Source organism: Homo sapiens, chromosome 15, assembly GCF_000001405.40.
Source record: "Homo sapiens chromosome 15, GRCh38.p14 Primary Assembly".
Taxonomy (NCBI): Eukaryota; Metazoa; Chordata; class Mammalia; order Primates; family Hominidae; genus Homo; species Homo sapiens.
Genome location: NC_000015.10, coordinates 21921245 through 21946097, shown reverse-complemented (window position 1 = coordinate 21946097; position 24853 = coordinate 21921245). Strand labels below are relative to the sequence as shown.

The 24853-nt window shown below is 37.0% G+C and overlaps 1 pseudogene across 1 annotated transcript; it reads left to right on the top strand.

Annotated features, from left to right (window-relative positions):
- Positions 1-5819: 5819 nt before the first annotated feature.
- On the top strand, positions 5820-18441 carry NF1P2 (neurofibromin 1 pseudogene 2; annotated as a pseudogene). The gene is made up of 8 exons (NR_028506.2): positions 5820-5919; positions 6040-6247; positions 8344-8509; positions 10550-10589; positions 11865-11953; positions 13226-13336; positions 14555-14700; positions 18336-18441. The product of NR_028506.2 is annotated as a neurofibromin 1 pseudogene 2 (transcript).
- The last annotated feature ends 6412 nt before the right edge of the window (positions 18442-24853 follow it).

Sequence of the window (24853 nt, the reverse complement as noted above, 5' to 3'; positions counted from 1 at the left end):
TTATAGGTGGGAATAGCTATTTTGTGCTGTGGACATTGTAGAGTCTAAGATAAGTACCTTTCCTGTGAGGTTAGTGAAAGGAAGTTTTTGGCTTTATCATTTGAGGCATTTGCTCTGCTCCTCCTACTCTGCCTTTTGGGTAGGGCTTATGAGGTTCTCCATTGGCAGGCAGGGCTCTAAGTGCAGTGACTTGATTGGCTGTTGTATTTGCTTAGGAACAGCAGCACTTCAGAAAGAGTGATGGCACTGCGGAGGCGCACTTAGCATCCCACTGCAGGAAACACTGAGGTGTGCTCTTAGCAAGAGAAACACCCCTCCTAGGCGCCCACCCTCAATTTTGGAAACCTATTGTCACATATGTGTAATCAGGAATAGCTTTTGAAGTAAATCCAAGATATGTGCGTGTTAGAAGTGTAATATCTGAGTACTTATTATACATCAAGTTTGAAACTTGGCCATTGCTGATTGACGTTTAGCTCTAGACTTAAAGTTGCTTTCAAGTGATAATTGCCTTCATTTTAGGCTTGGGAAGATACACATGCAAAATGGGAACAAGCAACAAAACTAATCTTTAACTATCCAAAAGCCAAAATGGATGACAGCCAGGTAAGTCTGTAAAGTTGACTTTTGTCTATTAACTGATCTGCTAAATATATGTCCTTCTCTTTGGTAATCTCTCACGAGTCACTCAGTAAAGTAAGCATATAGTTGTCTGAAGACTGATATTTAGTTGTGGTTTATCTAGACCTGTACTTCGTAATATGGTAGCCACTAGCTACGTGTGACTATTTAAATTTTAACATAATGAAAATTAAATACAATTTAGTTCCTCAATCATATAGTAGCCACATTGCAAGTACCCAGTAGCCACATATGACAGTCTGGACAGCAGAGAGAGAAAATGTTTCCATCATCACAGAAATACTGGGCAGCACTGCTAGAGACTGTTGCAGAGACCTTTTCTTGCTCTTTATCCCTTCATCAGGGTGTTTCACAGAATTTTCAGAAGAGGAGCAACAGAGGTAGAGAAAAAAAACACGGAAACAATTCATTTTGCTATTTTGTTAAGTATTCTAATTAAGGAATGTCTTGGGCAAAAGATTGAACCCATAGATTAAATGAAATTTTAAAATGTGGACAGTTCATTCAACTATTACTATTGACTATATTATCTGTTACTCTGGAAATTGATGAGTTGGTGTTTGTGTGTAATTGATTTGTAATGTTCATATTCCTCTCATTATTAGGCGATTTATAAAAACTGGTTATTCCCCCATGTTTTTTTTCTGTCATACTTAATTACAATAAGAAAAATGTTATGTTTTTATGAAGCAAAATTGTGTACCTAATAGCTTTATTTGGAGGGGACATGTAGCTTTAGAATGAAAGCTTTTGGGGGGATAACTGTTTAATATACCATACAATTCACCCATTTAAAGTGTCCAATTCAGTGGCTGTTTTTAGTATATTCCCAGAGTTGTGCAACCATTACCACAGTCCGTTTTAGAACAATTTCATCAATTGAGGAAAAAAAACCCCTGTATCCTTTAGCTATTTCTGCCTCTAACACCCTACCCCACCTCCCCGCCACTTTCTTGTCTCTCTTCCCCCGGCTTCTCCAGCCCTAGGCAACCTTGAATCTACTTTCTGTCTCTGCAGATTTGTCTCTGCTGGATCTTTTCTGTAAATGGAATTTTAGAATATGTGGGCTTTTGTGATTAGCTTCTTTCACTTAGCATAACGTTTCCAAGGTTCATCCATGTGAAATCAAAGCTTTTTAAAAGAAATTTGATACTTGGGCGATTATATTAGTGTATGACAAAAATAAATCAGTGGCTCTTTAAAAATGTATATGGTAATTTTTGGGGTTGATTTTAATGTGTTTTTTACATTTTTTGTACTTTTGTCATGGAAGAAATGTTGGATAAAGAGTAATTTGTCAAGTCTCAACTAATTTAGGTTTAATTCATGCTTTGCCCAAAAATTTTGTGTTTAGGCTGCTGAAAGTTTCACATGACCATTGTTAGGAGTCGAATATCCCATCTGAGTGGAGGAGGACGCGCAGATTTGTCTGACACAGACTCCCTACAGGAATGGATCAACATGACTGGCTTCCTTTGTGCCCTTGGGGGAGTGTGCCTCCAGCAGAGAAGTAATTCTGGCCTGGCAACCTATAGCCCACCCATGGGTCCAGTCAGTGAATGTCAGGGTTCCATGATTTCAGTGATGTCCTCAGAGGGAAACGCAGGTACACCTGTCAGCAAATGTATGGATCAGCTGTTGTCCTTAATGGTGTGTAACCATGAGAAAGTGGGACTTCAAATACGGGCCAATGTTAAGGACCTGGTGGGTCTAGAATTGAGTCCTGCTCTTTATCTGATGCTATTTAACAAACTGAAGAATGCCATCAGCAAGTTTTTTGACTCCCAAGGACAGGTAAAGTGTGCTCTTTTTTATTTTTCACCTTGTTTGAAATAAGGAAGGCTTTTTCTTTCCAATTATTTAAATTAGGTGCTCACAGTTTTTAAAAATTGCCAAAAAATTGCAGAAAGAAGAGTCATCTCAATGTAGGGGTCAGCTTGCTTCTTAGGAACTCTGGTGTGTATGTGTGCCTGAGGGTATACCTGCCTTGTGTATGGGTATGAGTGTCTGCATGTATCTGTATGCTTGTTTGGCTGTGTGCCTGTGGGTGCACTTCTGTGTTTGTGTGTTTAGATCAGTCGGTTGCATCTCTCTAGAGGTCTGTCTTCTGGGCATTGATGGCAAATGATTAATATATTTGTTCTTTCTATAGTTTTTATTGATGGATACCAACACTCAATTTGTAGAGCAAACCATAGCTATAATGAAGAACTTGCTAGATAATCATACTGAAGGCAGCTCTGAACATCTAGGGCAAGCTAGCATTGAACCAATGATGTTATATCTGGTCAGGTAAGCGTTCTACTGAAATGTAGCAGAAACATACTTTAAGAGATCAGAAAAACCTCTTACACATTGATATTGGTAGTAATTGATAAAATAATTTGCCATTCTTTACTGCACACAAACTAGGGTGTGACAGTCAGGTAACCAGAAGGTGTGTATGTTCTCATAAAAATAAATATTGTTTTCAGACTTACATTTAGTTCATTTTATTTGATGACTAAAGTACTTTGAATGCTTTCTCTTTTGTCTATATCTGATAATTTTTTTATTGTCTCTGTGTCTGTATAGGTATGTTCGTATGCTTGGGAATATGGTCCATGCAATTCAAATAAAACGAAACTGTGTCAGTTGGTTGAAGTAACGATGGCAAGGAGAGATGACCTCTTATTTTGCCAAGAGATGAAATTTAGGTGAGTTCTCAAAAGAGCAATGTAGGGTCTTGTAAATCTTAATTTGTTGAATGAAGTACAGAAATAGAGTAGAAATCTGGTTATTGGTAGGAAGGAAGACATAAAAAGAGAGCAATTTACATGTTTGTGTTTCTCTACGTCTCTCCTCAAATTTCCGTAAGCTTTGTGCCTGTGGCAAGCCTCCCTTTTTCTAAAACTGTGCTGTACTTGAGCTAAGAATTTGATTCTGTTTCCAATTTGATACCATAAATAAGGGCCATGTTGGAGGTTAAATATCCACGTTGCTTGTTCCCTTCTGGCTTTTACATCTGTGACATCAGTATCTCTTCTATAAAATCGTCATGTCACCTGAGTTATCTGCCAAATTATTTGCACTGTAAGAAATCTTACACAATTAAAGGTGTGTGTGTGTGTGGCTTCAAAAAAATTGTTTGCTGTTTCTCTTTTCTCCGCCATTCTTTAGGAATAAGATTGTAGAATACCTGACAGTCTGGGTTATGGGAACATCAAACCAAGCAGCAGATGATGATGTAAAATGTATTACAAGGTAAAAAAGAGAATGACCTTCAAGTATTAGTGGGTTTTCCTGTAAGAATTATAATTACTTCCTTACAGCTTTATACTTGTATTTTATGTGTATTTAAATTTTTTAGATGTCAAACTTTTGTGGTTGAAATATGTAAAGATACTAATCTTTATTACTACTTTTTTTTGACTGATAGACTTTCTGTAAAAATAAATGTGCGAGAGCGGTATGTTTGGGAAGTTAGTGTTGTCAGTTTATGAAGAATAGTCTACCGTTATTGGGAAATAAGGTACATAAAGCCTCAGATTGCATTTATGTTATGATTAGATAGAAAAAGGTATTATTTGAGGAACTCATTGTGTTGGTCTTTCTAAAAAATAATTGATTTCCTGATTCAGGCACCAGAGACAGAAAAAAAAGGAAGTAATTAAGTGTAATTAAGTCTGCTTTAATGATAAATGCTTATTGACACATATCAGAAAGTGATTAAACACTATGGACTGTATAATAAGCCTTTACATATGTTTCTTTGACCAAACCTAGCTTTATAATATGGTCATCTCTCAGTATCTGTCAGGAATTGGTTCCAGGAACCACCCCCCAAACTCCTGCCCACATCTCACTTCCATGAACACTAAAATCCACAGACTGAAGTCCCTGATACAAAATGTCATAGTATTTGCATATAAACTATGCACATCCTCCCATATATTTTAAATTATCATTAGATTACTTATAATATCTAATAAATATAAATCTTATATAAACACAAGTTGTTATACCATATTGTTTAGGGAATAACGACAAAGAAAAATCTTTACATGTTGAGTACAGATGAAACCCTACTTTTTTTTCCCCCAAATAGTTTCAATCCATGGTTGGTTGAATCTGTGGATACAGAACTCGCTGAGACAGAGGGCCAATTATACATGCTTCTGATTGAAGATAGTCATTTTGCCAAGATTACTTTGTAGAAAGTTACTATTGTCTTCTCCTCATTTGAGATGATTTTGTATTCTAGGATCTGCATATTAATTCAAATTATTTGGGTTGTGCTAATAATTTGTTTAATGAAACAGGTAGTTCCTAAAGTTTATATCTGTTAATAAGAGGTTTATTTGAGAGGAAGTGAAATAACCTGAAAGATTTATGGTCTCTAATTTTTTTTTTTCAGAGATTTGGACCAGGCAAGCATGGAAGCAGTAGTTTCACTTCTAGCTGGTCTCCCTGTGCAGCCTGAGGAAGGAGATGGTGTGGAATTGATGGAAGCCAAAGGGGACACAGTTATTTCTTAAGTAAATTTCAGTCACCAAAAAACACAAAGCAAAAGCAAATAAAGCCCCCCGCCGCCACACACACACACACACACACACACACACACCCACACTCAAAGACAAAACAAAACAAAAACAAAAAAACAAAAAAGAAAACAAAGAAATGTTCCCCATGCAGGACTAGGATTAGGAAAATAACTGTGTTTTATGATTTTTAAAGAAAATAATATGATCCCTGAAATTTTGCTTGTAATAAAACCCAGATTGCTTCACTAAGTCATTTACAAAAGTGACATTGTGTAAGCTGTTTGGACCACTAATTTTATATACTAAACATTAAAAATGACACATTTACCAGGAAACATTGCATCTATTTGATGCTTATGTTATGAAAGGTATGCTAGGCTATATCAGGTATAATCATGCCCAACACAGCATGCTTCATAATGAGTCACCCTGGCTGATTATCCTGAGAGAGGAGAGAAGCAGTTAATCCAGGGCCAGTCACACCGTGCACATGTGATAGTTTTGGAATGTCTGGTTAGCTTTCTAGTTGATACGGCCTTTGCTATGTAAAGGTCAGTCTTTTTATTTCTCAGATACTTCACACTATTTATGAACCTTTTGAGTGACTGCAGTGAAGCTGAAGATGAAAGTGCACAAACAGGTGGCAGGAAACGTGGCATGTCTCGGAGGTTGGCATCACGGAGGCACTGTGCAGTCCTTGCAATGTCAAACTTACTCAGTGCCAGCATAGACGGTGGTCTCATGCACTCCATAGGTGAGATCAAATGAAAGTTTCATATAGAAATACACAGCCTAGAGAACTGGCTTGTAAGATAAGCAAAAATTACTTCAGTAAGGCCATGTTAGTAAATTTGCATCCATTTGTCCACATCAGGTTTAGGGTACTACAAGGATCTCCAGACAGCTACATTTATGGAAGTTCTGATGAAAATCCCTCAACAAGGCACAGAATTTGACACACTTCAGAAACGGTATTGGCTGATGGGTTTGAGCAATTGGTGGAACTGGTCACAGTGATGGGTGATCAAGGAGAGCTCCCTATAGTGATGGCTCTGGCCAGTGTGGTTCCTTGTTCTCAGTGGGTAAGTGCATAGAGTAAGTGGGGAAGAAAAGTGCCTGGTACATAGCAAATCCTTCAGAACATATTTGTTCAATAAATGTTTGTTGAATGAATTGATAAAATTTTAGAGCCAGAAGAAATCTTAGATGTTTAGTTAGGTGACTTTTCAGCTGTAGGGAAGTGGTTGGCACTGCTAGACCTGAATAGTGTCCTATATCATTTCATCCCACTGAAAAATTCCATTTAAACACTGATTAAAAATCACTGATCTACTCCGCTGTCTTCATATATTTGAGAAGGTAATTAAGTTAAACCTAATTTCAGTCAGTTGTCGCAACGCTGGAATTGGAATCCACGATTTGTGCCTGTTTACTACCTCCAGTTTGCTGTTCTTTTCCCCATAATATCTTACACAATTTTTAAAAATGTAAGCACTGTATTTGCATTTGATATTATGATATTGTTTGTTTTAAACACTGAAAACATCATATGGCTATTAGGTCTCTCTCTTAATTTAATGAAAAATTTTCCTCAAATCACATCATTCCTAATACATGTGAAAACGTTGAGAAGGGTGGTGGTTCCTTTCCAGTGTTAAAAGGCTATTTCCTTTTTAGTGTACCAAAAATGGTTTCACTTATAGTAAAGTATAACTAATAAGGTAATCTGTCATTGTAGATTTGTTTCTGCTTAAAGCTGTAGGATATTTGTTACACCTGTACTTAAAGTAAAATTCAAACTCCTTATCCTGTCCTACAAGGCTCCACCTGATTTGGGCCCTGCCTCATCTCTAACATCATCTTATGCCATTTTCCTTCTTGTTCACCAAAGCCACACCAGCTACCTTTCTGTCCCTCCTTGTTAGACTTGTTTCTGCCTTAAGCACCCTTGCTGCTGCTACCACCTGAAATGCTTCTCCTCTGGTATTTTATTTTGGTGAGAACGCCTAGCATGAGATCTACCCTCTAACATATTTTTAAGTGTAGAATACAGTATTGCTATCTGTAGGCAGAATGCTGCACCACAGATCTCTAGAACTTACCTTGTATAACTGAAATTTTATACTGATTGATTAGCAACAGCGCCAAATCATTGAAATCTTCCTAAAGCCTAAAATTACTTCACAAACGTTCAAATGTTTTGAAAATGACTATTGTGAATTATCTTATTAGGATCTACCTATGATTAGCACTGAAAATACTCAGTAATTTTTTAAATAAAGAATCAGTTAAATTCAAGTAGCTTTAATTTGTTGTTGAGTTTTATATTAAATGACTTTGAGAAGGAATTTTCTATTAGGCCAGATCTCACCTATCACATTATTGTAATCCTGGGACCAGGCAAGAATTAGAGAGCTATGGGCCATGATCCTGGCCGTTGTTGTTACTGCTTGAGGATTGAGGCATCTTTTTATGGCTACCCCTATTCTCTATAAATTTCTTCTTGTGATTAAACAGTGATTTACCAGTAGATCATTTTTCTTGAGTGTACCCCAAACTGCTTTACTACAGGGAGTTACAAGGATGTCATTTAGGTAATTGGAATTTCAGCCCTCATCCCTGTCCCCCTTGCTTTGTATGTAAATCTGGCTGATCTCTGGGTTCTGAACGCCCAGTTCCTTTTCTTCCTGATTTCTCAAAAATCCTATAGTCTTTCTGTTTTTGTCATGTCTCTACCTAGTCTATGTTCAGCATTCACTGAGTTCCCCTGACTGTATGAGAAGAGAGTAGAACTCTTCTGATCATCAGTCTTATTTCTGCTCTGTGCAAATGCTTGTACAAATCAAACTAAAGTATTTGCTGTCATCTTCTGTTTCTGTTCTCTTTCATTTTGTGATGTAATTTGAACTGAATCTTGGACATTTTGTCTCCTGGTAAAGCCTAGGCCTCTCTTAATAGCTTTCACCGGTTAATCCTTGGAATTAACAGCTATCGTAGACATCGTATATAGTCATCTATCATAAACAATATACGCAGATAAATCTCAGGAGAAATATTAATCAGTCACCTTTGCCTTAATTTAGCAAGTAGTTGTCAACTTTGGGTTTATGTTTTTGCCACTCTTCAGCTATCTACCTGAGAACAAAAATGCACTAACCTGATTTTGTTTTGTTCTCAGGATGAACTGGCTTGAGTTCTGGTTACTCTATTTGGTTCTTGGCATTTACTCTACCAACTGCTCTGGAACATGTTTTGTAAAGAAGTAGAATTGGCAGACTGACTCCATTCAGACTCTCCTCTGAGGCAACAGTTTGGCCAGTAAAATAATGACACTCTGTTTCAAGGTTTGTATCATTCATTTTGTGTGTGTGTGTGCTGAGGTATGTCAAGTAATGATTATGTACAGAATGTGCAGAGCTGATTGTCTTCTTTTAAGGTAAAATGTATGGAGCAGGCATAATGAAGTCCTACTCATGCATTTCTATAGGTATATGGTGCTACCTATCTATAAAAACTCCTGGATGCTTTATTACGAATTGAGATCACATCCTCTGATGGGCAACATGTTAGCTTTGAAGTGGATCCTACCAGTTTTATCATCTTTTCACATAAAAGTGCTCTTTTTTTTTTTTTGCTAACACTGCATGAAGCAAGGCCCTCATAACTTCTCCTCTTGATCATTAAAATTTGTTTTTAATTATAAAAGTTATATACAAATATGCTTTTCTTTAATGATATCTGTAATTTTTTTTAAGTTATCCTTCTTTTTATCTGCCTTAGATCCAGGGACAGACAGGAGAAGGATGTCTTTGACTTCTACCTCCACAGACCGTTACTAGTTAAGCCTCTTTCCTTTTTCCATGACTTTACATATCACTTTACACAGTCACTTGCATGCTCTGTCACCCAGACTGGAGTGCAGTGGCACGATGGCTCACCGCAACCTCCACCTCCTGGGTTCAAGCGATTCTCGTGCCTCAGCCTCCCAAGTAGCTGAGATTACAGGCGTGCACCACCACGTCCAGCTAATTTTTCTATTTTTAGTAGAGATGGAGTTTCACCATGTTTGCCAGGCTGGTCTGGAACTCCTAACCTCAATTGATCCACCAGCCTCAGTCTCCCAGAATGCTGGGATTACAGGCATGAGCCACCATGCCCAACCAGAGAATTGTCTGTTTTGAGATTAAAATTTGGGAGTTTTAAGAGAACCACTCAGTAGCAGTGATGGTCTATGAATATTCTAAAATTATGTGAAGAAATTTGTGTGAAAGCATACATCCATTTTTCTAACCTTTATCAGATTTCAAAGAGGTTCCTCATCCCCAGAAGGTTGAACACTATACTGGAATAGTCGAAGCACTCAAATTTTTTCTTAATTCTTTATCTTTTTATAGTTTTAGCTAAAACTTCTATATCTAATTTTAAATTTATATATTTCAGCTAAAAATAAATGGTATTTAGGTTTTAAAGCCATTCTAATAAAGCAGCTATATTTAGCCACCTTCACCAGTTTCCCCTTATTGAAGGGTTAAGGTTGTTCTTCATGCAATAAACACTGTAACATAAAGAAAGCTTCCTGAACTGTGTGTAGTGTAACTGAAGGTGGGACTATATTGTTACACCTCACCGCTTACAAATACTTTATTCTCTAAAATCTAATTTTTACTAACTTCCTATTAGAGATTACAGAAAGCTATTTTGAGATTATAAGCAGTGATAAGAATGCATTTAAAATGTGGACTTCATGAAGCACTGCGTTGAACAGGATGAAGTGAAATAATCCCGATTCCAGAGTTAATCTGGAGTCAGCCATGTGAATTTAGGACAGGAAATATTAATTTATTGAGGCATTGTGCAAAAAATAGTTACGTGATATTCTGCATGTAAATCTGGGTCCCCCACACCAATATCCTTTGAAAGGAAGGTTTATCCTCGGAATCACAAAACATTGAGTGGAATGCTACAGTTTTGTAATCACTGCTACTTTAAACAGCAGTTAGCCACACTAAGCAAGAATAGCTGTAGAGATTAAAATGTTACATTAAGTGTTCTTTAAAAATGAATATATATGGTATATATAAAAATGTAAATTCCAAAATAATATAATTTTCATCTATAACATGATTTAAAGCAGGGGACACTGGGAAGGGATGGGGGCTGAACCCATTTTATGGCACTCTTCCCAGTCTAAGGTACCTTTTACTTTATCTTAATGTAGAATGTTTTATAAAGAGAAAATCAATCCACTTTAAATATTGGGTTCACATTACTTTTCAGGCTGGACAACCATTTCTTGAATTCTTAAATTATTTTTATTTGACAGAATTATACATTGAGGTAGACATAGGGGTTCGCTGTTCTGCTGAGATCCTTTTTTCTTTTAGGTGCCCAAGAATTCCCATCCCTCCATGGTTCAAATAATAGGTAGGTTGTTATAAAGGAAGCTGGCAACAGGCAATAACATTACTTGTAAGTAAGTTTTTTTTTCCTCAATAGGAATCTAAGATTTTGTTTTTTTATAGCAAGCATTTTTTTCTTCAATTCAGTTGTAACTGGTACACAACAAAACATAAATATGTACTATCAGGTATAGGATGTTTTGGGGGTGTGTTGTTGAAAATTTAGTTTCACCTTATAATGTTGACCACACTTTCATGTCTGTTAATCTTAATAAATTATGATCATCTTTGTGTGAAAATTTGGTCTGTTTTCATGACTCCTCAAACTTGCAGTATAGGTGATGATACAGTGAAGATCTGTTTTCAGGTTTCTTCTACCCATCTCATCCATGAGGTTTTTCTTTCCTCTGAGATACCTAAATTGTACTTTAATATGATACAAGACTAGAATTGAGAGGAAACTTTATTTTCTCATGTTTTGGGAGAAGAAAAAATAGAAATGTGTCATTCATGAGGACTGATTGACTCAGAGTTGTTGTGCAAATTTTGACCTTTGAACTCTTTGTTCCCATGCCCCTATTTTAATTCAAACCTTATACTCAAGTCTCAACTTGTTTTTAGGGGGTTAGCCAACGTTTCCCTCAGAACAGTATCAGTGCAGCAGGAAGTGCCATGTTCCTCAGATTTATGAATCCTGACATTGTCTCACTGTATGAAGCAGGGATTTTAGATAAAAAGCCACCACCTAGAATCGGAAGGGGCTTGAAGTTAATGTCAAAGGTGAATTATTTTGATAATCTAGCTATCTTAAATTCCCCTTCCAACTAAATTTTCAGCTTTTCTTACAGTACTTCCTCTTACATTTATATTGGAAATACCCTACGGTTTTCAGTTATGTGTTTTTATTTTGTTTATATTACAAAGGAATTCATTAGTTAGGTACCTGATGGACCTTATTTTCATGAGAATACGTTTTATTATAGCAGATGTCTTGTGTCATGAGGATCATTTTTTGCGTAATCATTCTAGACATTCTGAAACAGACTACAATGAAGGCTGTAGGATTTTTTATTTTAAGACATTAAACATTTTTAATATGTATTTGTACATGTAAATATAATTATAATTAGGAAGAATAGAAACACTACCTAAAATATAGAATGAGAAATGATTGATTTTAACTACTAGCAGAAATTATATCGAGAAAATTCATATTTTTAAAGAATATATTAATGTATAAACTTCATACAATAAGTAATCTGATTATTTATAACCCTGTTTTATTGTGTAAATACTTCAGAGTATTGCCAATCATGTTCTCTTCACAAAAGAAGAGCATATGCGGCCTTTCAATGATTTTGTGAAAAGCAGCTTTGATGCAGCTTGAAGGTAAGCTACTTGCCACTTATTCACTTGCTCTGTTTGAATCAAATATTTTCAGTTTCACATAAATCCATGTACCTGTTTTACATGAAGTTCCGTGTAGGTTTTTTTCTCTTCCTGCTCTAGGTCAAGACATAGCTTGCCTTATTTTATTTTACTATAAAAGACAGTCTTGAAATAAATTAATATTTTTTATAATTTGGTAGTGATTTTCATATTTGAAAACCAAGAGGCATTTTGGACATGTCTAGTTAAATAAAGGATTTGAGGATGGTACAATATGGGGATAAGGAAGAAATAGGATTCCTTTTATTTAAAACTAAAACCAAATTGGTATTGATAATGCATAAGAATGTTTAATAAGGTTTTTATTGGTATCAGAATATTTGTGATACTTAAATTTGGAAGTGTATCTAAACTAAAATGTTATTCTTTAAACCAAGTAATGCAAACACGTAAGATTTTGTACATGAGTAACTGAACTTTATGATTTTAGAAAACTTTTCTGCTGGATTTCCATAACCAGTTATTTCACTTTATTTCTCTGAGTTATTGGTTTATCTGTAAAGTGGGGATAAACTCTTTGCCTGAGTTGTTTTTAGAGAGAAAAAATGAGATAATTCATAAGAAAGTGCTTTGTAAATTTATGTCTGGAATTCTGCTTTTCATGCAGTGTGAATCTAATTGATCCTTATCATCTAAGCTAGCCTTGTACAACTCTCTCTTCCAGTTTATCATCATTGTAATTGTTACTGACTTTTATTCTTTTAGGAAAATTGGAGTTTAAAAGGTATATTGCTGAATGACAAGCCATGTTGGAAAGAGAGTGAATGTCAGCACAGGATTCATATTCTGGCAGACTGAGGGCCCAAAGAAAGTTAAAAGGAACAAAGTTTTAATACTGGCTTTGACCTAACAGGCTATATATCTTTGGGGAGGTCTTTTGTCTGGACCTTCATTTCCTTATCTGTAAAATACCAGCCTCTTTCCAAAGTTTCATCCATCTCAATTTTGCTGTTCTTTAACTACAGAAGCTGAAGCCAGGTATCAGAAATGGAAAGCCAACTTTCTCCTTGTCCTTTTTACTTTGTCTAATGACAAATCACATTGTGGGAACAAGCCCTCCATATTTGTAATTGTCATCTCAGTTGCTTCACAAAGTTACTTCGTATAAATTTAATTCAAACATAAGTATGGTGTGTCTCTGGTGTTGAAAATTCTAGTGACTTTGCATTTTCTAATGTTTTTTCTTGATATGGCATCTGATTGTCCTACAAGTGATGCAGTAAATCATAGCCTTTCCTTCAGCAGTGACGGCAATGTGCTCGCTTTACATCATCTACTCCGGAACAATCAGGAGAAAATTGGCCAGTGTCTTTCTAGCAACAGGTAAGATTTCCCAGTCATGAGGATAGTGAACATTCTCCATTTTAATTTAGATCAATAAAATTATTGGTCATGAATAGTGCTTTTTAAAAACTTTGCATCTTCTTGGACTAAGAATTATGGTTTAGAAAGAGAAAGTCTTTTTTTTTTTTTTTTCAAAAAAATACAAACAAAAGGTTAAGTCATGTTAAATAATCAACAGACCTATGTAGGTTCCAGTGGTGGTTATTATTATTATTTTCTCAAGTTAAGAAATCACAGATTAGCTCTTTGGGTTTGTATGGCTTGCAAACTGTCATAGACCCAAAGAAGTTCAAATTAGTGTTGGCATTTGAATCTGAAGAACAGCTAATTCATAGGAATTCAGTAATTAAAATATTGTCAGTGTTTCAATTCTATGATAAACTCATTTGTGATACTCTAAGTATATGCAAATAAAGCTTTATATAGAAAATACTGGCCTGGCACTGTGGCTGATGCCTGTAATCTCAGCACTTTGGGTGGCCGAGGTGGGTGGATCACCTGAGGTCAGGAGTTCGAGATCAGCCTAGCCAACATGGTGAAACCCCATCTCTACTAAAAATTCAAAAATTAGCTGTGCATGGTGTCAGGCGCCTGTAATCCCGGCTACTTGGGAGGCTGAGGCAGGAGAATTACTTGAACCTGGGAGGCGGAGGTTGCAGTGAGCCGAGGTTGTGCCATTGCACTCCAGCCTGGGCCATAAGAGCAAAACTCCATCTCAGGGAAAAAAAAAAAAAAAGAAAAAATACTTAAAAATTGAAATTATTAATTTGGGCATTGTTTCATTAGCTCTTATTAGTCTCTTGTGTTAACATAAATTACTTGCTGTCCCATCTAGTTATATAAACTTGTAAAGGGACAAAATTCCTAAGTATGAGGAGTTCCTTACAAAGGAAATTGAGTCCAAATTATTTTTAAATGCCAATAAAAGTGGTTAGCACATTCACAGGAAAAGTAGTGGACTATGAAGCTAAGGGTAAGCAATTGGGAGATGGGAGTTTAAACCACAGAGCATTTTAATCTTTTATGCATTATTAATGGATTGAAGTAGACATGGGCCTGAGGTCTTTTGGGTGCTGTTTACAAATCAACAGGGACCACCAGCTGACAGTTAAAGGAAAAGCAACAGTTACAAGTTAAAGAAATGTGTACTGCTAAATGTGAACTGCTACTTTTTTCTAAGTAGTTTGCTATATCTAGGGATCATAAAGCTGTTGGAAGATGACCTTTTGATAAATGGCAACACTTCTTGTATACCTCGGTCCTCCAGAGCACAAACCTGTGGCAGATACATACCGGTCCAGCCTTAACCTTACCAGTTAAAAGTTTGAGGAATTTATGATGAGGTAAAGTACAACCTTGAAATGTAGATTGCTTTCTTTTTGGTTGAGAAGCAGAGTTTACCACTAGGCCACTTGTTAGATATGATAGAAGACTATGAGGAAAGATGCATCTAATAATCACATTGCCATGTTTGGGGACCCAACTTTTCTCCTATTCTATATATTATTTATTTATATATATATATATATATATATATATATATATATATATAGAAAGAATATGTTTTATATGTTGATTGCCATAATAGTAGTAACAAATCATATTTTATCATCTCGCTTTCATAAGTTTTCACATTTAATACCTACCAGGGAATGAAGAAAACATTATTTTCAGATGATAGTTAAGGAAAATGCAACTCAGTGTGAATAACTGGCTTGTGTGAGATCCCACACCTGATTCATAGGTCTTTTGGTTTTAAGTGCAGAACTTTTCTACTACACTATAACACTTTTCAGAACCCTCATAAAGATGAATGGTTTTAACTTCTTTTAGATTAAGGCTCAGAAAATATAGTCTACTTCAGTATTGCTATAAAATTTCTGTGGACATTTGTTTTGAATCCCATTTCATGGCATTTAGCTTGTGAACAAAAAGATCTTCATGGTTAGACACTGACTCTATGATGATACAGTGAGAGTAGTTTGCTGAATCTTTTAAAGTACATTTCACAGTAACTTATGCTTAGTAAGGTCTCCATAGTGTCTGTGAGTTGAATGTTGTGTTCACAGTATCTGCCAAAACAGAAAGAAAAAAACAAAATCTGATGATGAGAAGTTAAAGCTTTGTATATCATATGCCTTGAATTGTAAGTGCCTGTTGTTAGTTGTATTACATATAGGTCATGGTTTTGTACACATAACCCCAAACCATTGATACTGTTAAAAGAATATATGAATATATGAAAGAATGTATAAACATAAGAATGTATGGGTATATAATGTACTTTCCAAATTAATTTTTATTTTTAGCTTTGTTAGATTTTTCTTAGTGTAACAAACGTTTATTCCTATGTAATTAAGGGCATATTTTCTGTACAGAATATTCATATTACCTAATTGAAAATTATATAATACAAAAATATAATACTATTTTTAGGCCAGGCATGGTGGGTCATACCTGTAATCCCAACATTTTGAGAGGCCAAGGTTGGAGAATCACTTGAGACCAGGAGTTCAAGACCAGCCTGGGCAACATGGTGAGACCTTGTCTTAAATAAATAAATAAATAGGTTGGGCACTGTGGCTCATGTCTGTAATCCCAGCATTTTGGGATGCCAAGGCAGGAGGATTGCTTGAGCCAGGAGTTTGAGACCAGCCTGGGCAACATAGCAAGACTCCATCTCTACAAATAATAAGATATTAACCAGGTGTGGTGGTGCGTACCTGTGGTCCCAGCTACCTGGGAGGCTGAGGTGGGAGGTTTGCTCAAGGCTGAAGTGAACTGTGAATGCACCACTGCATTCCAGCCTAGGCTACAGAATGAGACTTGTCTATAAATAAAGAAATAAGTAAAAATATAAATTAAAAGAAGTAAAAAAAATAAGTAAATAGAAATACATATAAAGATGAGTACATCAAAACAAACAATTTTTAAATTTAACATCACTGAGGGCATCCTGGCCATTTTTCTATTTTTCTAGGAAAATGTTTTTATTACTCCTTTTTTTCTAAGATCCTACCTTTCCTTACAAAGCAGTCTTTTGTGCTTTTGAAGATTATGTGATCTAATATATATAGTATACTTAGGACAGTATCTGGTACTTGTAAAGTGTTTAATAAATGTTAGATCTTATTTTTGTTCTAAATTCCCACTGATGCTTTTGGAGACCCATTTTCTGTTTTAAAAAAATGAAGGTAGCTTTATAATAGCCTCAGTTTTTTTTTTTTTTTTTTTTTTTTTTTTTTGAGACAGAATCTCGCTCTGCTGCCCAGACTGGAGTGCAGTGGCATGATCTCGGCTCACTGCAAGCTCTGCCTCCTGGGTTCACGCCATTCTCCTGCCTCAGCCTCCCAAGTAGCTGGGACTACAGGCGCTCGCCAGCACGCCTGGCTAATTTTTTGTATTTTTTGTAGAGACAGGGTTTCACCGTTTTAGCCAGGATGGCCTCGATCTCCTGACCTCAGGTGATCCACCGGCCTCAGCCTCCCAAAGTGCTGGGATTACAGGCACGAGCCACCATGCCCAGCCAATATTCTGTTATTTAAAAAAAATTATTGGATTACTCAATATAGAAATCTAAAGAAAGTAAAAAAAAAATTAAAAATTGTTTATCCTCCTGCTCAGAAATAATTCAGTTAACATATGGTGTATAGTCTCCCAGTCATTTATCTATGCACATGTATATGTTTTTCTCCTATCAAATGATATCTAGGTTGTTTCCATTAATATTTTTAAAATGCTGACCTGGTACCAGCAGCATGATGGGCTGAGTTAATATAGTCTCCTTCCCAAATCACAATACTCATAGATACACTAAGTGTAAAAGAAAACATGTATACTTAAAAAAAATTAGGAAGAGTGCAGTAGCTTACGCCTATAATCCCAGCACTTTGGGAGGCTGAGGCAGGTGGATCACATGAGGTTTGGAGTTTGAGAGAAGCCTGGCCAACATGGCGAAACCCCATCTCTACTAAAAAAAAAATAAAAATAAAAATTAGCCAAGCATGTGACGGGTGCTTGTAATCCCAGCTACTTGGGAGGCTGAGGCAGGAGAATCATTTGAACCTGGGAGGCAGAGGTTGCAGTGAGCTGAGATCGTGCCACTGCACTCCAGCCTGGGCGACAAGAGCAAAATTCCATCTGTTAATTAATTAATTAATTAAGTTTATAGCTGAAGGTAGTTTCTAAGCAAATTACCTAGCATACAGTCATTACAGACAAAGAAATGGAAAATATGAAAGAGATTAAGAGATGCAGAAGATAGAATGAGAAGTTCCAAAATATGTCTAGTAGGTGTTCCCTAGAAATTGAGCTCAGTGAGAATGGGAAGAAGTAATATTTGAAAAGGTAAAGGATGAATGTTTTCTAGAGTTGATGAATGACATTAATCTTGAAGTTAAAGAAGCACACTGAGTCTTGAGCAGACTATATAAAAAGTAAACCAGGCTTTAATACATATGGGAACATAATATATGATAAAAGTGGTATTTGAAATCAAGATTAGGATGGACTTTCAATAAATGGTGTTGATAAAACTGAGTAATGATCTGAAAAAATATTTTCATACCATTTATGAGGATAGACTCCCATAAATCAGAAAGAAAAAAAAACATGGGCAAAGCAAGGCCTTTTTCATCCATTCAAAATCCATAAACTAGAAAGGAAAAGGTTAATAAAATGAATTCGTTAAAAAATCATAAACTTCTGTCTGACACAAAGAAGTCATGAGTAAAAACAATCCTATGGTTAATATCCTCATCCAGTAGTTCTCTTAGAATAGTCCTAAAAGTGCTTTTGTGGTTCAAAGAATAATATCTTGAGATTTTTTGTGCATGTTGTCAAATTACCCTTTAGAATGCCTGTTGCTTTTAAAATAATTTTTCATTTTAGCATTTTATTGTTTATCCAATTATGGACTGTTTTACATACTCAGTAGACAACACAAAGCCTCACAGTTACCCTGTTCTTTTTCTTTTAGGCATCAGGTATGTGAAAAAGAAGAGATCAAGGCTTTGAAAACATTAAGTATTTTTTACCAAGCTGGGAATTCCAAAGCTGGGAAGCCAATTTTTTATGTTGCAAGGAGGTACGAAATACTATGTTTTGGTGTCTCTTAACAGAATTTTTTAAATGATAGTAAATATAGAGAGATGGCAAGTTTGGTTTTTCCCGTTTGACTTAACAGGAATTGAAGACAAGTTTACCTGGGAGCATATAGTGGGGTAAATAGCCTGCCTTTCCTAAAATGATGGTCAATATCTAATAACTGCTTTTCAGACTACCCATTTCATATTGGTTTCCCTGTCCTACATCATTTTTTTAAGACTGCCTAAAATGGATTAATTACCAAGAGTTAAAAAACCACAAAGAATCTTTTGTTTTCAAGTATATTCTGATTAAGTAGTACTCAACAACATGATAACCGGGAACTTTTTTCAATTTTATTTTATTTTATGATTTTATTTTTGAGATGAAGTCTCGCTCTTGTCCCCCAGCCTGGAGTGCAATGGCATGATCTTGGCTCACTGCAACCTCCACCTCCCGGGTTCCAGCAATTCTCCTGCCTCAGCCTCCTGAGCCCTCCCCTGCCAAATCCTTCCCAGCTTCTGGTAATCATCAGTTTATTCTCTGTCTTCATAAGATCCACTTTTTCAGCTCTCACATATGACTAAGAACATGTAATATTTTTCTTTCTGTGCCTGGATTATTTCACTTAACACAATGATCCCCAGTTACGCCTTGTAGCTGCAAATGACAGGATCCCATTCTTTTTTATGGCTGAATAGTATTCCATTGTGTATACATACCACATTTCTTTATGCATTCATCTGTTATGGGCACTTAGGTTGACTCCATATATTGGCTGTTGTGAATAGGGCTGAGATAAACATGGGAGTGCAGATATCTTTTTGATATATTGTTTTTTGTTTCTTTTGGATGTATACCCATCAGTGGGATTGTGGGCATATAGTAACTCTAGTTTTAGTTTTCTGAGGATCCTCCATGCTGATCCCCATCATGGCTCCTTTATGGAGAGTGTGTGAGGGTTCTCCTTTCTCAGTATGTTCACTGGCCTGCTGCCTTAGACATTAAATCAGGTGCTACTGCGGTATTCCGAGTTGTAATTAGTTTTTTATTTTGACATCTATAAACCTTCAGGCAGCCAGACAGCTTGATAAAGTTAAGCCAAATACAGTTTTTCTAGGAGTGGTGAATTAATGGGAGAAGTGGCCAGATCATCCTTGTGTGTAGGTGTGAGCATGTCTGAGTGTGGCGAGGGAAGGTGGTTGGGTAGAGAGTGCTGTGAGGGAGTGAGGTGGGAATCCCCCTAGCTAGGATTGAGTCATTTTTTTCTTCTTCCATGCAAAATGCATATTCCCCATTGTGGATTTCTGAGTGTGTGAGTGATGAAGAAATAGGGCATGTGCCTTGACCCAGTTGCAGCTATTGCCTCCATGTGCCTGAGGTGCCTTCCTCATACTCTAGCATGTTACTGGGCAGACAGTCAGTATTAGCACATGCTGCTGGTCCTTGTGAGCACAGCACGAAGACGAGAAATGGCTGGCAGAATTTTGGCTTGAGGGCCAATAGATGTAATAAATGTAATACAGTTAGTTTTAGAACATAATTCCATAATTTGATTCGGGTCAAATAAATCATTTTAACCAAAATTTCTATTGTGGAAGAAAATCTTTCAAGAATTATGAAATTTGTGTCTCAGAATTGGCTCATTTAAGAAAAATAATACTGTTCAAATGTGCGAAGGCTGTCAAAGGGTTTGTTGTATAGCTTTGCATTGGCTGAGTTTTCAATGTTTAGACATTTGAGTATAAGAAAACTGCTACACTAAAAGTAATAGACATAAAAATAAAAAATAAACAGCTGTGTAATGTTATCAGGCTAGCTAGATGTTATGCATCTGTGATTCTGAGGCTTCTTTGCAGCATTTGGTTCATGGAGGTTCTGGTAAGACCAGCTTGTGAGCGTTGATGTTTCAGAGCAGGTTATTTTCTATGGTGTGAAAGATGCAGTCATTGCCAAGAGTCACAAAAAGTGAGGCTGGGAAGAGGATACACTGAATAAAGTTTTAAGGAAGTTTAAGAAAGCACACACCACATTGCCATTTGCTTTCTTAAAGTTTCAAGGAAAATTTCTAAAAAATATGTTCGTATGGTTTGTAAGGTTCACATGAGATAAGGAAGTAAATAGAGCACTTAGCATAGGAATTGGAAAAAAAATACTTTCAGACATAGAAGACATACAGTTAACAGATTTCAGAGTCAAGCACTGGTTAGATAAAGTCAAATGCTCTCTTTAGATGTGTACTGCAAGGCATTAGCCAGGTGCAGTGGCTCATGCCTGTAATCTCAGCACTTTGGGAGTCCAAGGTGGGTGGGTCACCTGAGGTCAGGAGTTTGAGACCAGCCTGGCAAACATGGTGAAACCCCGTCTGGACTAAAAATACAGAAAATTAGCTGGGCGTGGTGACACACACCTGTACTCCCAGCTACTTGAAAGGTCGAGGCAGGAGAATTGCTTGAACCCAGGAAACGGGGATTGAAGTGAGCTGAGATCACGCCAGTGGACTCCAGCCTGGGTGACAGAGAAAGACGCCGTCTCAAAAAAAAAAAAAAAAAAGAAAAAGAAAGACAATATTGGTGTTTTAGATTATAAGAATACAATTTTGATCATAATCATTTACTGTTCTTTGTCACGAAGAACTACTGATCTGTCTTTGTAAACCTGCAAACCTGATCATTGAGAAGTCTGCATCACTATTGATGACAACTTATGGTTCTTCATTAAGTGACCCAGTTCATTTGCTGGAAGATTGGCTGCCTGTTAGCCCAGAAAAAGATCCTTTTTCTAGTGAATATCATTGCAAAGTGAAACAGGAAGAGTGGAAAGGTACAGTCTGTAGGCTAGCATGCGATGCACCATGAAACTCATCATGAAAAGGACATGTGTGTCATTAATCACGGCCACATTGATCACGGCCCCACTCTCTAGGGAAGAAGCCAGTTTTTTCCCTTCCCTGAGAGATACCATAACTGAGCCGCCATCAGTATCTTCAGCCTTCCCTTGGAGGAGGATGAACTCGACCTCGATGGTAAGTGATTGATGGTTGACTTAAGGGAATTTGGCTGGCCAGGAATTTGGCTGGCCAGAGAGATGTCCTTCCTCCCTCACTGCTTCCTCATGGAAATGTTAATGAAGATTAAACAAATTAATATATGAAAGTAATACCTGGAACTTAGTAAATCTCAGTGAATTTTAGTCACTATTACTGCTCCTGTGGACCTCAAGTATCAAGCAATGTGACTACGATCAGTAGTGAACTAGCCTTTCTGTAGGCATATTCCTTTGTTTCTCTTGGGTAAATACCTGGTAGTAGAATGCCTAGTGCATATGGTAAGTGCATGCTCAACTTTTTAATACACTGCCAAGTTGTTTCCCAAAGCAGATGAACCATTTTCCATTTTCAGCAGTAGTGTATGAGAGTTTCAGTGGCTCTATATCTTGACCAGCTTTGGTATGGTCCATCTTTAATTTTAGCCATTCTGATACATATGCAGTGCTATATCATTATATATATCCTTTTTTGAGACTGAGTCTTGCTCTGTCGCCCAGGCTGGAGTGCTGTGGCGCGATCTTCGTTCACTGCAAGCTCCACCTCCCAGGTTCAAGCGATTCTCCTGCCTCAGCCTCCCAAGTAGCTGGGAGTACAGGCACCTGCCACCATGCTCAGATAATTTTTTGTATTTTTAGTAGACACAGGGTTTCACCATGTTGGCCAGGCTGGTCTCGAACTCCTGAGCTCAGGTGATCCACCCGCCTTGGCCTCCCAAAGTGCTGGGATTATAGGCGTGAGCCACGGCGCCCAATCTAGAGCATCTTTTCTTGTGCTTGCTTCTGTCTGTATGTCTTCTTTGGTGAAGCATCTGTTTAAACCATTGCCTATTTTTTATTAGGGTGATTTATCGTCTTACTATTGAACAGTAAGAGCTCTTGTATATTTTGGTTACAGATCTTTTGTTGGATGTATGTTTTGCAAGTGTTTTCTTCCAGGTGAGCACTGCCACTTCATTTCATTAACAATGATGTTGAAATAGGAAAATGTGTATTTTGGGGGAGTCAACTACTCTTCTCAAATCTGCCTGAATAGATTTATCCTTTAGGCCTCTTTTGTGGCAAGACAAATTCATAGCTGAGAAATTTATATGGGAGGAACAAAAAAGTAACTGTACCACTATCTAATATTGAGCACCAGTATTAGTGCAATTATTTAATAATGTAACTTCTTGTTAGTATAACATTAGTGAAAAATAATTATGAAATCTTTAGTATGTTTATCTTCTTCCATAAAATAAATTCATGGCCAGTGGGGTGTCTCACGCCTGTGGTCCCAGCACTTTCGGAGGCTGAGGTGGACAGATCACGAGGTCAGGAGTTCGAGACCAGCCTGGCCAACGTGGTGAAACCCCATCTCTACTAAAAATACAAAAGTTATCTGGGCTTGGTGGTGGGTGCCTGTAATCCCAGCTGCTCGGGAGGCTGAGGCAGAAGAATCGCTTGAGCTTGGGAGGCGGAGGTTGCAGTGAGCTGAGATCACGCCACTGCACTCCATCTTGGGCAACAGAGCAAGACTCTGTCTCAAAAAAATACATTAATTAATTTAAAAAATAAATTCATCAAATAACGACAATCACGAGAGTGACTACAAAAGATGGGCGTGTCCTCAGAGTCTGGCCTCAGTGAGTTTGGAGTGGTGCATACCAGGAGCAGCAGAGGTTCCAGGGAAAATTGTAGACAGAGGAAACAAACCACCATGAAGGAGAGTCAGTGGCAATAATCATTACCAATGAAGAACTGTAGAGTCGTATTTCAAGAATGAAGGTGAGAGCCGGGTGTGGTGGCTCATGCCTGTAATCCTAGCACTTTGAGAGGCCAAGGCAGGCAGATCACCTGAGGTCAGGAGTTTGAGACCAGCCTGGCCAACATGGTGAAACCCTGTGTCTACTAAAAATACAAAAATTAGCCGGGCGTGGTGGCAGGTGCCTCTAATCCCAGCTACTTGAGAGGCAGAGGCAGGAGAATCACTTGAGCCTGGGAGGCAGAGGTTGCAGTGAGCCGAGGTCACGCCACTGCAGTCCAGCCTGGCGACAGAGTGAGACTCTGTCTCAAAAATAAATAAATAAATAAATAAAATTGAGGTAGTCATTTACAGAAAAATATAATCTTTAAGACTTAAGAGCATTTAAGACCAACAAAGTTTCAATAAAGAAATGTTAATAGAGAAGGTTAGCAAGAAAGGAAAAGATTAAGGAGTGCAGTTATGAATAGTTAGAATCTAGTAGCTAGTAAGCAGATGACACATCTGAAACTCTAATCACGTATTTGCAACAATAAGAAAGCTGTATGTAAAACAACTTCTGTTTGTGGTTGGTGGAATTAAAGGAAACAAGACAGAATAAGCGAACAACTGAAAATAAATACAAAAATGAGGTGATCAGAGTGAAGGCATTCTACAGTGTTTGCATTATTTTGTGGAGGGAGTTAAAATTAGCTTAATTTTAGCCTTTGTTAAATTGTAATGCAAAATGCAGTGTAAAATTTCAAGGAAAACAACTAAAAGAATAGTAAAGATTCCAAACCAATAGAGGTTTAATTTCCAAACCAATCAAAGGAAAAAAGATGGAATTGGTGGGTGAGGGTAGACGGATTTAAATTATTCAAAAGAGACTGGGCAGAGTGGTTCACACCTGTATTCCCAGCAATTTGGGAGGCCAAGGCAGGTGGATCACCTGGGGTCAGGAGTTCAAGACCAGCCTGGCCAACATGGTGAAACTCCTTCTATTCTAAAAATACAAAGAAAAAAATTAGCTGGGCGTGGTGGCTTACACCTGTTGTCCCAGCTACTCAGGAGGCAGAGGCACGAGAATCACTTGAATCCGGGAGGCAGAGGTTGCAGTAAGCCGAAATCATGCCGCTGCACTCCAGCCTGGGGAACAGAGTGAGACTCAGTCTCAATAAATAAATAAATAAATTCAAAAGAAAAGCAGGAAGAGAGAGGGAAAAAAACTAGATAAAATGGACAAGTAGAACACATAAAGTGAAAGGATAAGGATATAGAAGATTCGAATAGATTATTTCCCACTTTGATTTTAATGGACATATATCGTGATTAGAGAATATTATGCAGCCATTTAAATTGCATATGTAATAGTTACCACTTTACTTGGCATAAAGCCAGTTTTAATAAATTTCAAAGAATTAGTAACAAAAATAATTGAGAAAAACTTCCAGAAACTGGAAAAGGATAATGTGCTTTTGTTATAAAAGTTCATGTTATGTTGAAATGGATAAATGGAAAACAACAAAAACAAAAAGCATACCCAGAAACATGAAGGTCACATTTTATATCACCAGAATGATATAAACTTATTTGCTTCAAAGGAATGAGAGAGACTTTGATTTGATCAGGGTGGTGACATC